Source organism: Homo sapiens, chromosome Y (assembly GCF_000001405.40).
Source record: "Homo sapiens chromosome Y, GRCh38.p14 Primary Assembly".
NCBI classification, from domain to species: Eukaryota; Metazoa; Chordata; class Mammalia; order Primates; family Hominidae; genus Homo; species Homo sapiens.
Window position 1 is genome coordinate 740,860 of NC_000024.10, and position 13,990 is coordinate 754,849.

At 45.7% G+C, this 13,990-nt stretch overlaps 4 annotated features.

The window, feature by feature from the left end:
* Positions 12,490 to 13,159: an enhancer, noted in NCBI's record as "CNE4 PCR-amplified transgene fragment". NCBI's record gives its function as "enhancer in day 2 and day 3 zebrafish embryo fin, cardiovascular system, brain, skin, muscle, notochord and ear" and the evidence as "EXISTENCE:transgenic organism evidence [ECO:0001131][PMID:21731768]".
* Positions 12,491 to 13,145: an enhancer, noted in NCBI's record as "CNE4 PCR-amplified reporter construct fragment". NCBI's record gives its function as "enhancer in ovo in chicken limb buds, and in human U2OS osteosarcoma cells" and the evidence as "EXISTENCE:reporter gene assay evidence [ECO:0000049][PMID:17200153, PMID:26631348, PMID:22791839]".
* Positions 12,770 to 12,855: a conserved region, noted in NCBI's record as "conserved region; CRCNE00011095 more deeply conserved sub-region". NCBI's record gives the evidence for it as "EXISTENCE:sequence alignment evidence [ECO:0000200][PMID:21731768]".
* Positions 12,777 to 12,876: an enhancer, noted in NCBI's record as "CRCNE00011095 PCR-amplified transgene fragment". NCBI's record gives its function as "enhancer in day 2 and day 3 zebrafish embryo skin, with some activity in fin, muscle and heart" and the evidence as "EXISTENCE:transgenic organism evidence [ECO:0001131][PMID:21731768]".

Sequence of the window (13,990 nt, forward strand, 5' to 3'; positions counted from 1 at the left end):
CGAGACCAGCCTGACCAATATAGTGAAACCCCATCTCTACTAAAAATAATAATAATAAAAAAATTAGTTGGGAGTGGTGGCAGGCACCTGCAATCCCAGCTACTCAGGAGGCTGAGGCAGGAGAATTGCTTGAACCACGGAGGCAGAGGTTGTAGTGTGCCAAGATTGTGTCACTGCACACCAGCCCTGGTGACAGAGCAAGACTTTGTCTCAAAAAAAAAAAAAAATGAAAAAAGAATGCTGCACCCGGAAGAAGCACATTGCAGCCATCCCTGACAATTGCTTGGATGCTACAATGGTGAATTTTATAAGTCAGTCTGATCAGGTCTTGCAATGAACACGTTAAACATGATTTCTGGATGTATCTGTGAGGATGTTTCTAGAGGAGACTAGCATTTGAGTTCATGGGCTCACGAAAAGAAACATCATCCGCTTTAAAACTGGTAAGGATAGGCCTTCTGTTGAGGGTGTGCAACAGGATTTGCTCCATTTCTCCTGCAACACTACTTGAGCTGGGACATCTCATTCCATCATCTGTCTTCAGACTGGCTCTTACAGCCTCGGTTCTTCTGGGTCTCAGGCCTTCAGCTAAGTTAGGGTCTTCACGCTATCAACTCTACTGCATTTCAGACCTTCAAACTCAGACTAGAACTCCCACCCTCAGCTCTCCTGGGTCTCTGGACTTCAGACTCACACTGGAACTCACACCCTCAGCTCTCCTGGGTCTCAGGACTTCACACTCAGACTAGAACCCACACCCTCAGCTCTCCTGGGTCTCTGGACTTCAGACTCACACTGGAACTCACACCCTCAGTTCTCCTAGGTCTCAGACCTTCAGACTCAGACTAGAACTCACACCCTCGGCTCTCCTGGGCCTCAGGCATTCAGACTCAGACTAGAACTCACACTCTCAGCTCTTCCAGGTCTCGGGCCTTCAGACTCACACGGGAACTCACACCGTCAGTTCTCCTAGGTCTCAGACCTTCACACTCAGACTGGAACTAGGGACCCTTGGCTCTCCTGGGTCTCAGACCTTCAGACTCAGACTAGAACTCACACCCTCGGCTCTCCTGGGTCTCAGGCCTTCAGACTCAGACTGAAACTCACACCCTTAGCTCTCCTGGGTCTCAGGACTTCTGACTCACACTGGAACTCACACCCTCAGCTCTCCTAGGTCTCAGATCTTCAGACTCAGACTGGAACTCACACCCTCAGCTCTCCTGGGTCTCAGGACTTCAGACTCTGTCTGAAACTAGGGACCCTTGGCTCTCCTGGGTCTCAGGACTTCAGACTCAGACTGGAACTCACACCCTCAGCTCTCCTGGATCTCAGGCCTTCAGACTCAGACCGGAACTCACACCCTCAGCTCTCCTGGGTCTCAGGACTTCTGACTCACACTGGAACTCACACCCTCAGTTCTCCTAGGTCTCAGACCTTCAGACTCAGACTAGAACTCACACCCTCAGCTCTCCTAGGTCTCAGACCTTCAGACTCAGACTAGAACTCACACCCTCGGCTCTCCTGGGTCTCAGGCCTTCAGACTCAGACTGAAACTCACACCCTTAGCTCTCCTGGGTCTCAGGACTTCTGACTCACACTGGAACTCACACCCTCAGTTCTCCTACGTCTCAGACCTTCAGACTCAGACTAGAACTCACACCCTCGGCTCTCCTGGGTCTCAGGCATTCAGACTCAGACTAGAACTCACACTCTCAGCTCTTCCAGGTCTCGGGCCTTCAGACTCACACGAAAACTCACACCGTCAGTTCTCCTAGGTCTCAGGACTTCACACTCAGACTAGAACTCACACCCTCAGCTCTCCTGGATCTCAGGACTTCACACTCAGACTGGAACTCACACCCTCAGCTCTCCTGGGTCTCAGGACTTCAGACTCAGTCTGAAACTAGGGACCCTTGGCTTTCCTGGGTCTCAGGACTTCAGACTCATACTGGAACTCACACCCTCAGCTCTCCTGGGTCTCAGGACTTCTGACTCACACTGGAACTCACACCCTCAGTTCTCCTACGTCTCAGACCTTCAGACTCAGACTAGAACTCACACCCTCAGCTCTCCTGGGTCTCAGGCCTTCAGACTCAGACTGAAACTCACACCCTCAGCTCTCCTGGGTCTCAGGACTTCTGACTTACACTGGAACTCACACCCTCAGCTCTCCTGGGTCTCTGGACTTCAGACTCACACTGGAACTCACACCCTCAGCTCTCCTGGGTCTCAGGACTTCACACTCAGACTAGAACTCACACCCTCAGCTCTCCTGGATCTCAGGACTTCACACTCAGACTGGAACTCACACCCTCAGCTCTCCTGGGTCTCAGGACTTCAGACTCAGTCTGAAACTAGGGACCCTTGGCTTTCCTGGGTCTCAGGACTTCAGACTCATACTGGAACTCACACCCTCAGCTCTCCTGGATCTCAGGCCTTCAGACTCAGACCGGAACTCACACCCTCAGCTCTCCTGGGTCTCAGGACTTCTGACTCACACTGGAACTCACACCCTCAGTTCTCCTAGGTCTCAGACCTTCAGACTCAGACTAGAACTCACACCCTCAGCTCTCCTGGGTCTCTGGACTTCAGACTCACACTGGAACTCACACCCTCAGCTCTCCTGGGTCTCTGGACTTCAGACTCACACTGGAACTCACACCCTCAGCTCTCCTGGGTCTCAGGACTTCACACTCAGACTAGAACTCACACCCTCAGCTCTCCTGGATCTCAGGACTTCACACTCAGACTGGAACTCACACCCTCAGCTCTCCTGGGTCTCAGGACTTCAGACTCAGTCTGAAACTAGGGACCCTTGGCTTTCCTGGGTCTCAGGACTTCAGACTCATACTGGAACTCACACCCTCAGCTCTCCTGGATCTCAGGCCTTCAGACTCAGACCGGAACTCACACCCTCAGTTCTCCTACGTCTCAGACCTTCAGACTCAGACTAGAACTCACACCCTCAGCTCTCCTGGGTCTCAGGACTTCTGACTCACACTGGAACTCACACCCTCAGTTCTCCTAGGTCTCAGACCTTCAGACTCAGACTAGAACTCACACCCTCAGCTCTCCTAAGTCTCAGACCTTCAGACTCAGACTAGAACTCACACCCTCGTCTCTCCTGGGTCTCAGGACTTCACACTCAGACTGGAACTCACAACCTCCGCTCTCCTGGGTCTCAGGCCTTCAGACTCAGACTGGAACTAGGGACCCTTGGCTCTCCTGGATCTCTGTCTTTCTAGCAGTAGATTAAGGAACTTCTCAGCTTCCATATTTAACTGACCTATTTTCTCATAATAAATCTAGCATCTATCTATCTATCATCTATCTATCTATCTATCTATCTATCTATCTATCATCATCTATTATATTATATTATCTACCTATCTGTTTATTATCTGTTTATCATTTGTTATTATCCCTACTATCATCTGAAAATCATGTTTTTATCATATATCTATTTATTATTCATCTACTTATCCCCTGTCTCTGTAGCTTCTACATAGCTATCTATCATTTATCTATCTCTTCTCTGTTTTTTTTTTTTTCTGTTTTTAGATGGAGTTTCACTCTTGTTGTCCAGGCTAGAGAGCAATGGCGTGATCTTGGCTCATTACAACTCTGCCTCCCAGGTGCAAATGATTCTCCTGCCTCAGCCTCCCGAGTAGCTGGGGTTACAGGCATCTGCCACCATGCCCAGCTAATGTTTTGTATTTTTAGTAGAGACAGGGTTTCACCATGTTGGCCAGGCTGGTCTCGAACTCCTGACCTCGTGATCCACCCGCCTCATCCTCCCAAAGTGCTGGGAATACAGGCGTGAGCCACCATGCTTGGCCTATCTTTCCCCTGTTGAATCTGTTTCTCTGGAATGCTTGAGGAATATAGACATCTCTACTTTGTCATGGTTTCATTCACTCATTACAATGTCACCTCACTATATACCTGGTGCTTAAGAAAGGTCCGATAGACAATGTTGGGTAATGGGATGTATTTCTTGCTGATAACAGAATACCTGAAACTGAGTAAATGATAAGAAATCAAATTTATTCTTACAGTTCTGGAGGCTCAATAATTCTAGGTCAAGGGGCGGCATCTGGTGAGGGCCTCCTTGCTATTGGGGACTCACTGCTGAGTCCCAAGGTGACACAGGTATCACATGGTGATGGGGCCGAGAGTGCTAACTCAGGTCTCTCTTCCACTTCTTATAAAGCCACTAGTCCCACTCCCTTGATAAACCATTAATCCATTAATTTATGATTGGATTAATCCATCTCTAAGAGCAGAGCCTTCACGGCCCAATCACCTCTTAAATAACTCACCTCTCAATGCTGCCATGTAGGGGATAAAGTCTCCCCAGGAGTTTTGGAGGGAACAAATATTCACACCTTAGCATGGGGCTTGGATGACCTCCTAGTGTCCTCACTGTGGTGGTCTCCGGGCATGCATCTCTGTTCATGGCTCAGCCATCCACATGGTCCCAGAAGAGCCACCACAATCTACGTGGATGAAGTTCAGGGTTTTCAGACTCAAGATTTCTGGGATCCATCAACTGATGGCAGATGTCCTCAGCAAACACCACCAGAGTTACTTGAATCAACAACACCTCAAGTTGCTCGAAACTCGGACAAATTTGGAACCAAGCGTATCACCATTGGAGAGAAGAGACCCATCGCTTTTTTCTTTGGGAGTGTTCGTGGAGGTGGATGGATAAGAGTGTAAGGAAGGTTGAGAGGTTAGTAGAGACAAGCTTTCACCATGTTGGCCAGGCTGGTCTCTAACTCCTGACCTCGTGATCCACCCTCCTCATCCTCATCCAGAGCAAGACTGGCTATTTCCCATTCTTAAATTGAGTAAAACTATCAGCCCTTTGCAAAACAGAACTCAAGGGGTGAGGGGTACTGTCTTCTGCATCGTCCACCTCCATTGCTGGTGGCAGTTATCCCCTGAAACCACCTTCGCCTGGAGCCATCCCAGCTTCTGCCCACATGATGGTTCCCCTTTCCTCATCTTCCTTTTTCCTCCTCCCACTTGTCCCACTTGTATCTTGAGGTTTTGCTGTACTACAAACAGAATCTGATAAAATAATCTTGACTAAGCCAATGAGTAAAAAAACCCTTGAGTATAGTCTTCCTCGCTCTTCCTGATTTGGACAAGAAGCTTGCAAATATGCTGGTATCTTCAGAAGAATGACTGCTATGGGGTTATGGGTGAGAAGTCAGTTTTCTCCTCTGGTTTTTCATGGGTATTTTAAAATTACAGCCAGGGGTAGCAGCAGTTCTCCCTCCCTAGCAGCTATGAGTCTATGGAAGGGTTTGTGTCCATGCTTTCTGAAATAATTACCAGAGCTAACCACATTCTATGTTTGGCTGTTTTTTCTTCTCCAAATGCATCTGGAGACCCACTTGGCAGCAGGAAGGTTGCTGGGTGCTCAGAGCATCTTACTCCAGGGAAGATTGGTGATAGGATAGATAGACAGACAGACAGATAGAAAAATCAATAGATAGATATCTAGATAGATAGATGACGGATAGATAGGCAGGCAGAGATAGATGATAGATAGATAGATAGATAGATAGATAGATAGATAGATAGATAGATGATAGATAATAGACACATAGATGATAGACAGATAGATAGATGATAGATAGATAGATAGATAGATAGATAGATAGATAGATAGATAGATGTAATGTGTTTGAATCATCCCAAAGTCACCTCCCCAACCCCCATTTCATGGAAAACTAGTCTTCCAGGAAACTGGTCCCTGGTACCAAAAAGGTTGGGGGGCCGCTGATATAGGGGTATTTGTGTCCTTATGAGAAGGGGAAGAGACCCCAGAACTCTCTCTGTCTCTCTCTCTCTTTCTCTCTCTGTCTCCACTGTGTGAGGACACAGCAAGAAGGCAGCCGTTTGCAGACCAGAAAGAGAGCCCTCACCAGACACTGAGTCTGCCCTGTCCACACCTTGATCTCAGACTTCCAGCCTCCAGAACCACGAGAAAATAAATGTCTGCTGTTTAACCCAGCGGTCCCCAGCCTTTTTGGCACCAAGGACCACTTTCACGGAAGACAATTGTTCCACGAACTGGGGAGGGGGTCTGGTTTGGGGATGATTCACGTGCATTACATTGATTGTGTACTTTATTTCTATTATCATTGCATTGTAATATATAATGAAATAATTATCCATCTCAGCATAATGTAGCATCGGTGGGTGCCCTGAGCTTGTTTACCTGCAACTAGATTGTCCCCTGTGGGGGTGATGGGAGACACAGTAGAGCATCAGGTATTGATTCTCATCAGGAGCATGCAGTGAAATCTAGATCCCTCACATGCACGGTTCACAGTAGGGTTTGTGCTCCTATGAGCATCAAATGCCTCTGCTGCTGATCTGACAGGAGGTGGGGCTCAAGCTGTAATGGGAGAGATGGGGAGTGGCTGGGAACACAGATGAAGCTTTGCTTGCTTGTCCACTGCTCACCTCCTGCTGTGGCACCTGGTTCTTCAGAAGCCACTGACTAGTAGCAATCTGTGGCGCAAGGGTTGGGAGACCCTGGTTTAACCCACCCAGTCTGTAGTCCCCTGTCATGGGCAGCCTAAACAAAACTAATGCAAGCACCTGCCCCTGCAGGCAGTGAGCATAGGCTGTTTCCAAGCCCACCAAAGAGGCCACCTCTCTTGTAATTATAGTTGTATTTCTCATTGATGACAGATATAAAAATCCTTAATGCCACATTGTTTGGGGGACCTCAGAAAAGGCAGGGATAGGCCAGGCACCATGGCTCATGCCTGTAATCCCAGCACTTTGGGAGGCCGAGGCAGGTGGATCACCTGAGGTCAGGTGTTCAAGACCAGCCTCACCAACATGGTGAACCCCTGTCTCTACCAAAAAAATACAAAATTAGCCGGGTGTTGTGGCAGGTGCCTGTAATCCCAGCTACTCGGAAGGCTGAGGCAGGAGAATCGCTTGAACCCGGGAGGCGGAGGTTCAGAGAGCCGAGATCCCGCCATTGCCCTCTAATCTGGGCAGCAAGAGCGAAACTCCATCTCAAAAAAAAAAAAAGTGAATGTCCAGTCAGGCACACATGGCTCATGCTTGTAATCCCACCACTTTGGGAGGCCGAGGCAGGTGGATCACCTGAGGTCAGGTGTTCGAGATCAGCCTCACCAACATGGTGAACCCCTGTCTCTACTAAAAAAATACAAAATTAGCCAGGTGTTGTGGCAGGTGCCTGTAATCCCAGCTACTCAGAAGGCTGAGGCAGGAGAATCACTTGAACCTGGAAGGTGGAGGTTCAGAGAGCCGAGATCCCACCATTGCACTCTAACCTGGGCAACAAGAGTGAAACTCCATCTCAAAAAAAAAAAAAAAATAGTGAATGTCCAGTCGGGCACACGTGGCTCATGCCTGTAATCCCAGCACTTTGGGAGGCCGAGGCAGGTGGATCGCAAGTTCAGGAGTTCAAGACTAGCCTGGCCAATATGGTGAAACCCCGTCTCTACTAAAAAAAATACAAACATAAGCCAAGTGTGGTGGTGGGCGCCTGTCATCCCAGCTACTTGGGAGGCTGAAGCATGAGAATCGCTTGAACCTGGGAGGTGGAGGTTGCAGTGAGCCGAGATGACTCCAGTGCACTCCAGCCTAGGTGAGAGAGTGAGACTCTGTCTCAAAAACAAACAAACAAACAAACTATCCAAAAACAACAACAACAAAAAGAAAAGGCAGGGATACCAGATGAGAAGGCAGACATTTCCAGAAAGAATAGGTGTGTGGATGATATTTTCTAGCCATAAGTTTTTTTTTCTTTTTTTTTTTTTACATAATGACTGTATCAAAATAGCACATGGCACCTGCTAGAAGGATGCTGGCTAACTGGTACCAATTGCCTACATCCTATGACTCATCATGTCCCAGGTACGAGTGCCCACGTAGGTGGTGGTCGTAGCTTCTGTTCTCATCAGCTTGATTTTTCAGAAAATTGTATCCTGGAATAGCCACTTATTGGCATTAGAGAGAGAAAGATGCTGATTATAATAACTCCTGTGGCTTGAAGTATTGGGTCCAAGCTGCTACTAAGTTAACTGGAACATGTTCTATTCATTTGTTAGTGCCTAAAATTAACCAGGCTCCTTGAGGCCCTGAACACATTGTTCCGGAAATACATCAGTATTGATCACTGCTGCATTTCCTCATTAAATAGGGCAGCTGGGGTATTTTTAGCACAAAACACTGAAACAGAACAAAATGTGATTATCTATGTCGTTATGGTAATACAGAAGTCCCAGATTTGACTTCTTTCAAAAAAAGAGGTCTTTATATTCATAAAAAAGAGACAGACAGAAAGATGGAAAAAAGAAAGAGAAAGAAAGAAAGAAGGAAAGAAAGAGAAAAAAGAGAGAAAAAATAAAGAGAAAGAAGAAATAAAGAAAAAGAAGAAAGAGACACAGAGAGAAAGAAAGAAAGAAAGAAAGAAAGAAAGAAAGAAAGAAAGAAAGAAAAAGAAAAGCAAGCAAGCAAGCAAGCAGGAAAGAGAAAGGAAGAAAAAGAAAGAAAGAAAGAAAGAAAGAAAGAAAGAAAGAAAGAAAGAAAGAAAGAAAGAAAGAAAGAAAAAGAAAGAAAGAAAGAAAGACAAACAAAGGGAGAGAAAGAAAAAAGAAAGGAAGGAAGGAAGGGACTGGGCGTGGTGGCTCACGCCTGTAATCCCAGCACTTTGGGAGGCCGAGGCAGGTGGATCACGAGGTCAAGAGATTGAGACCATCCTGGCCAACATGGTGAAACCCCATCTCTAATAAAAATACAAAAATTAGCCGGGCATGATGGCTGGTGCCTGTAGTCCCAGCTATTCGGGAGACTGAGGCAGGAGAATCGCTTAAACCCTGGAGGCAGAGGTTGCAGTGAGCTGAGATCACGCCACTGCACTCCAGCCTGGTGACAGAGCAAGACTCTGTCTCAAAAAAAAGAAAGAAAAATAAAGAAACAGAAAGGAAGAAAGAAAAAAGAAAGAAGGAAAGAAAGATAGACAGATGAATTTGTTCAGCGGGAAACAGGCGTATCAAGTTATTTTATTTTATTTTATATTTTATTTTATTTTATTTTATGAGACAAGGTCTTACTCTGTCACCCAGGCTGGAGTGCACTGGTGCAATCATGGCTCACTGTAGCCTCGACCTCCTGGGCTCAAGCGATCCTCCCACCTCAGCCTCCAAAGCAGCTGAGACCACAGGCACACACCACCATGCCTGGCTAATTTTTAATTTTTTTTCTGTGCAGATGGGGTCTTGCTATATATTGCCCAGGCTGGCCTCAAACTCCTGGCCTTAAGCAATCCTCCTGCTTTGGTTTACCAAAGTGCTGGGATTACAGGCATGAACCACCACAATTGGCTGATTCTTTAAACAAAATTAATAAATATCTGGCAGAATCTTAACAGTGAGAAGATACTGTATTCATTGCCAAGGGCTGGGGCAGTGCAGAGGTGAAAGAGATACATTGAGGATCAGATGCAGAATGTTGGAGTGGTTCACAGTTTAGTATAACCCAGCATATTGGGGGTGTTGCAAACGAAGCCAATCCGGCCCCCTGCACGTTACTGTCAATAAAGTTTTATTGAAACATGGTCACACACACATTCTTGTGCACACCGTCTGTGGCTGCTTTCCTGCCACAAGGGCAGAGCTAAATCCTTGCATGGCAGACTGTGTGGTCCACAAAACTGAAAATATTGACTATCTGGCTCTTCACTTAAAAGATTTGCCCACCTCTGGTCTAACTGGTGTTGGAGGAATGCTTCGTAGTGACTCAGCCACTCCTGGTTTCTTTTTTCTTTTTTCTTTCTTTTCTTTTCTTTTTTTTTTTCTTTTTTTTTTTTTTTTGTTTTTTTTTTTGAGACTGTGTCTTACTCTGTCACCCAGGCTGAAGTGCAGTGGCTTTATCTCAGCTCACTGAACCTCCGCCTCCCGGTTCAAGCGATTCTCCTGCATCAGCGTCCTGAGTAGCTGGGATTACAGGCTCTTGCCGCCATGCCCTGCTAATTTTTGTATTTTTAGTAGAGACAGGATTTCGCCATGTTGGCCAGGCTGGTCTCGAACTTCTGACCTCATGATCCACCCACCTCGGCCTCCCAAAGTGCTGGAATCTTACAGGTTTGAGCCACCACGCCCAGCCCAAATAATTTTTATTTAATATATTTAATATAAATATTAAATAAATAAATTTACTAAATATAAATGTTAAACAAATGTTTATTCATTAATATAAATATTACACAAATATTTATTTAATATTTATCTTAATGAATTAATTTACATAAATTTATTCATTTATATCTTACACAAATATTTAATATTTTTATTAAGGAATTAAATTTATTAATTATATATTACACAAATATTTAATATTTATATGAAGGGATAAATTTAAATAAATTTATTCATTTATATATTACACAAATATTTAATATTTATATGAAGAATAAATTTAAATAAATTTATTCGTTAATATATATTACACAAATATTTAATATTTATATGAAGGAATAAATTTAAATAAATTTATTCATTAATATATATTACACTAATATTTAATATTTATATGAAGGAATAACTTTATTTAAATAAATTTATTCCTTCATATAAATATTAAATAAAAGTATACAATAAATAAATTTATATTAAAATATATTTTTTAAAATCCTGTTACCAAATATATGTATTTGGATATAGCAGAAGCACGTGAAAGAGGAAAATGACCATCACAGCAGCATTCTTGGAATTATCTACTAAGGTAAAGGAGCCCCTTGGGGCAGGTGGTGATCGCTAATCGAGGATCCCCTTGGAGAGCTGGTTGGTTTTGACTTGGTGGTCCTCTCTCCTGTTGGTTTCCGGGGAGTGGTCAACACATGGGCAGACAAGGTATATAGCTCTTTTTGGGGTCTATGGAGAATCAGAGCCCCTCCATGAACCCAGCTAAAGAGGCAACACATGCTTAATTCCATTCCACACTCAGGGAAGTCAACTCTAACAACGCAGAAGAAAGATGAGAAGGACAAAAATGTCCATTCGGTTTGAGAGATGAACTCCCACATCTGTGGGCAGAAGGCCAAAGTTAGCCCCAAAGGCACACCCCGTCCACTCCAGGTGCTGTGTGTGTGTGGGCGTTAGCCTTCCAGGGACTTCACGGCCAAGAAGACAATTGCCCCACGGAGCTGGGACGACCCTCTTTTCTGAGCCATTTCAGAATGCCAGCCAGGGAATTCCTATTGAGCAGGTGCAAAAGTACGGAGGACAGATAGAATAGAATTTAGACCCAGGCTGGGTGCAGGGGTTCATGTCTGCAGTCCCAGCACTTTGGAAGGGTGAGGCAGGTGCATTGCTTGCATCCAGCCTGAGTGATACACAAAGACCCCAACTCTACACTTGTATAGACATTTACAATCTACAGTTGGGAGTATAGACATTTAGTACAGACAGAATGTCTGTCCAGGCCTAAATTCTATTCTTTTTTCCTCTTTTTTTTTTTTGAGGCAGGGCCTCACTGTGTCACTCTGGCTGGACTGCTGTGTTACAACCTCGGCTCACTGCAACCTCTGCCTCCTGGGCTCAGGCGATCCTCTTGCCTCAGCCTCCCAAGTAGCAGGGATTACAGGTGCGTGAACCACCATGCCCGGCTAAGTTTTGTATTTTTGGGAGAGTTCGATCTGTCTCGTTTTCGTCTCTTCCTTATCACTTGTGGATCATCAAGGCGTTCAGAGTCCTTCACGGGACACCAAGAGGCCAAGTTCTTGTTTTGACTTTACCATGTCAGTACATTAATTTCTTCTTATTGATTTATTTACGTATTTATTTTGAGACAGATTCTTGCTCTGTCGCCCAGGCTGGAGGGCAGTGGTGCCATCTCGGCTCACTGCAACCTCTGCCTCCAGGGTTCAAGCGATTCTCCTGCCTCAGCCTCCCAAGTAGCTGGGATTACAGGCACCCGCCACCATGCCCAGGTAATGTCTGTATTTTTAGTAGAGACGGGGTTTCTCCATGTTGGCCAGGATGGTCTCGAACTCCTGAGCTCAGGAGATCCACCCACCTGGGCCTCCCAAACTGCTGGGATGACAGACGTGAGCCACCATGCTTGGCCTATCTTTCCCCTGTTGAATCTGTTTCTCTGGAAGGGAAGTTTGCAAAAAAGAAAAAAACCTTAACGTATGAATAAATGATGTCTACAAAAAGCAAATCCTACAGTCACGGGTGCAGGTACATTTTTCTTTGCAATTCTAGCAAATTCTCCCCTTGGGAATACAAAATACGCCATTCTTTTTTTTAATTCTTGTTTTAAGGATGGCCACTGTCACAGAACATGAGTGAGGGACGGTATCTGCGTACGTTGAAAATGCTCACGGTTTCTGGTGCAGAGATTTCTCTGGAGTAATGGCATTTTTCTGTGTGGCAGTTAGCATTTAGAGTGAATAGAGTTTTTCTCTCTCTCTTTTTTTTTTTTTTTTGCAGTGTTATGCACTCGAAAATGTCATCTTTTTTCTATTCCTTTTAAAATCAAATTACAACCTGACATTCAATAAAATATCTTTTGCGCAACTAATAAAAACAAGACCCTCGCTGCCTTGACAATTAAGGCACGGGGTCCGACACGCCGCCTCCGATACAGTTTACGGCTTCCCTTTGATGTCAGGGTTTCCTATATTAAAAAAAAAAAAGAGCCCCATTATTTATTAATAGCCTTCTGTGTTTTAAACGTTTCTTTTTCTTGTGTGGAGAGAAAAAAAAATCATTTGCCTTTTAATGGGGTGTCAGATTTGCTTTCGAAACCTTCTAAAAGGTTATCGTTGTTGAATACGAACAAGTTTCTTTCTGCGGAATCAATGAAGACTCTGTTTCCCGGGCTGCTCCGTGGAAAACTTAATTTCACCATTTTGCAAAGTGCAGGGCTGGGACGTTTCACTGCGGTTAACTATTTTCACATGGAAGGTAAAGAAAAATGCAAAGTCCTCACACGTACTAAATAACCTGCAGGCTGCCTTATGTCCGGGACGTCTTGCAACGGCCTGGCGGTTAGAGCTCACGGAGATGTCCAGTTCAATTAGATGCTTCGTAAACCTGCTAGCAATTAACTCAGCCAGGAGCTGAGACCGAACACCAGGACTAAGAGGGGGTTACATCCCGGTCCAGGAGCTGAGACTTAACTGCCAGCTCCTGAACTACCTCGAGGCCGAGCTAGCAGTATCTACCAGCTTGACTAGCTGCCCTGGAGAAAATGACCCACCTCCAAATTCTATATTTTTATTATTATTATTATTTTTTGAGGCAGAGTCTCACTCTCTGTCCCCCAGGCTGGAGTGCAGTGGTGCGATCTCGGCTCACTGCAACCTCCGCCTCCCGGGTTCAAGCAATTCTCCTGCCTCAGCCTCCCGAGTACCTGGGACTACAGGCGCCCACCACCAGGCCCGGCTAATTTTTGGTATTTTTAGTAGAGACGGGTTTTCGCCATGTTGACCAGGCTGATCTTGAACTTCCGACCTCAAGTGATCCGCCCGCCTCGGCCTCCCAAAGTGCTGGGATGACAGGCGTGAGCCACCACGCCCGGCCTCCAAGTTCTATTGTAACCCATCTCTAACTTTGATTGTAACTGTAGGGAGGACAGATAGAATAGAATTTAGACCCAGGCTGGGTGCAGTGGTTCATGCCTGCAGTCCCAGCACTTTGGGAGGCTGAGGCAGGTGCATTGCTTGAATCCAGGCTGAGTGGTACAAAAAGTACCCTCAACTCTACAGTTGGAAGAGTAGACATTTAGACCTGGACAGAGTGTCTGTCCAGGCCTAAATTCTATTCTTTTTTCCTTTTTTTTTTCTTTTTGAGGCAGGGCCTCGCTCTATCACTCTGGCTGGACTGCCGTGGTACAGCCTCGGCTCATTGCAACCTCTGCCCCCTGGGCTCCTGCCTCAGCCTCCTGAGTAGCTGGGATCACAGGTGCCCGCCACCACGCC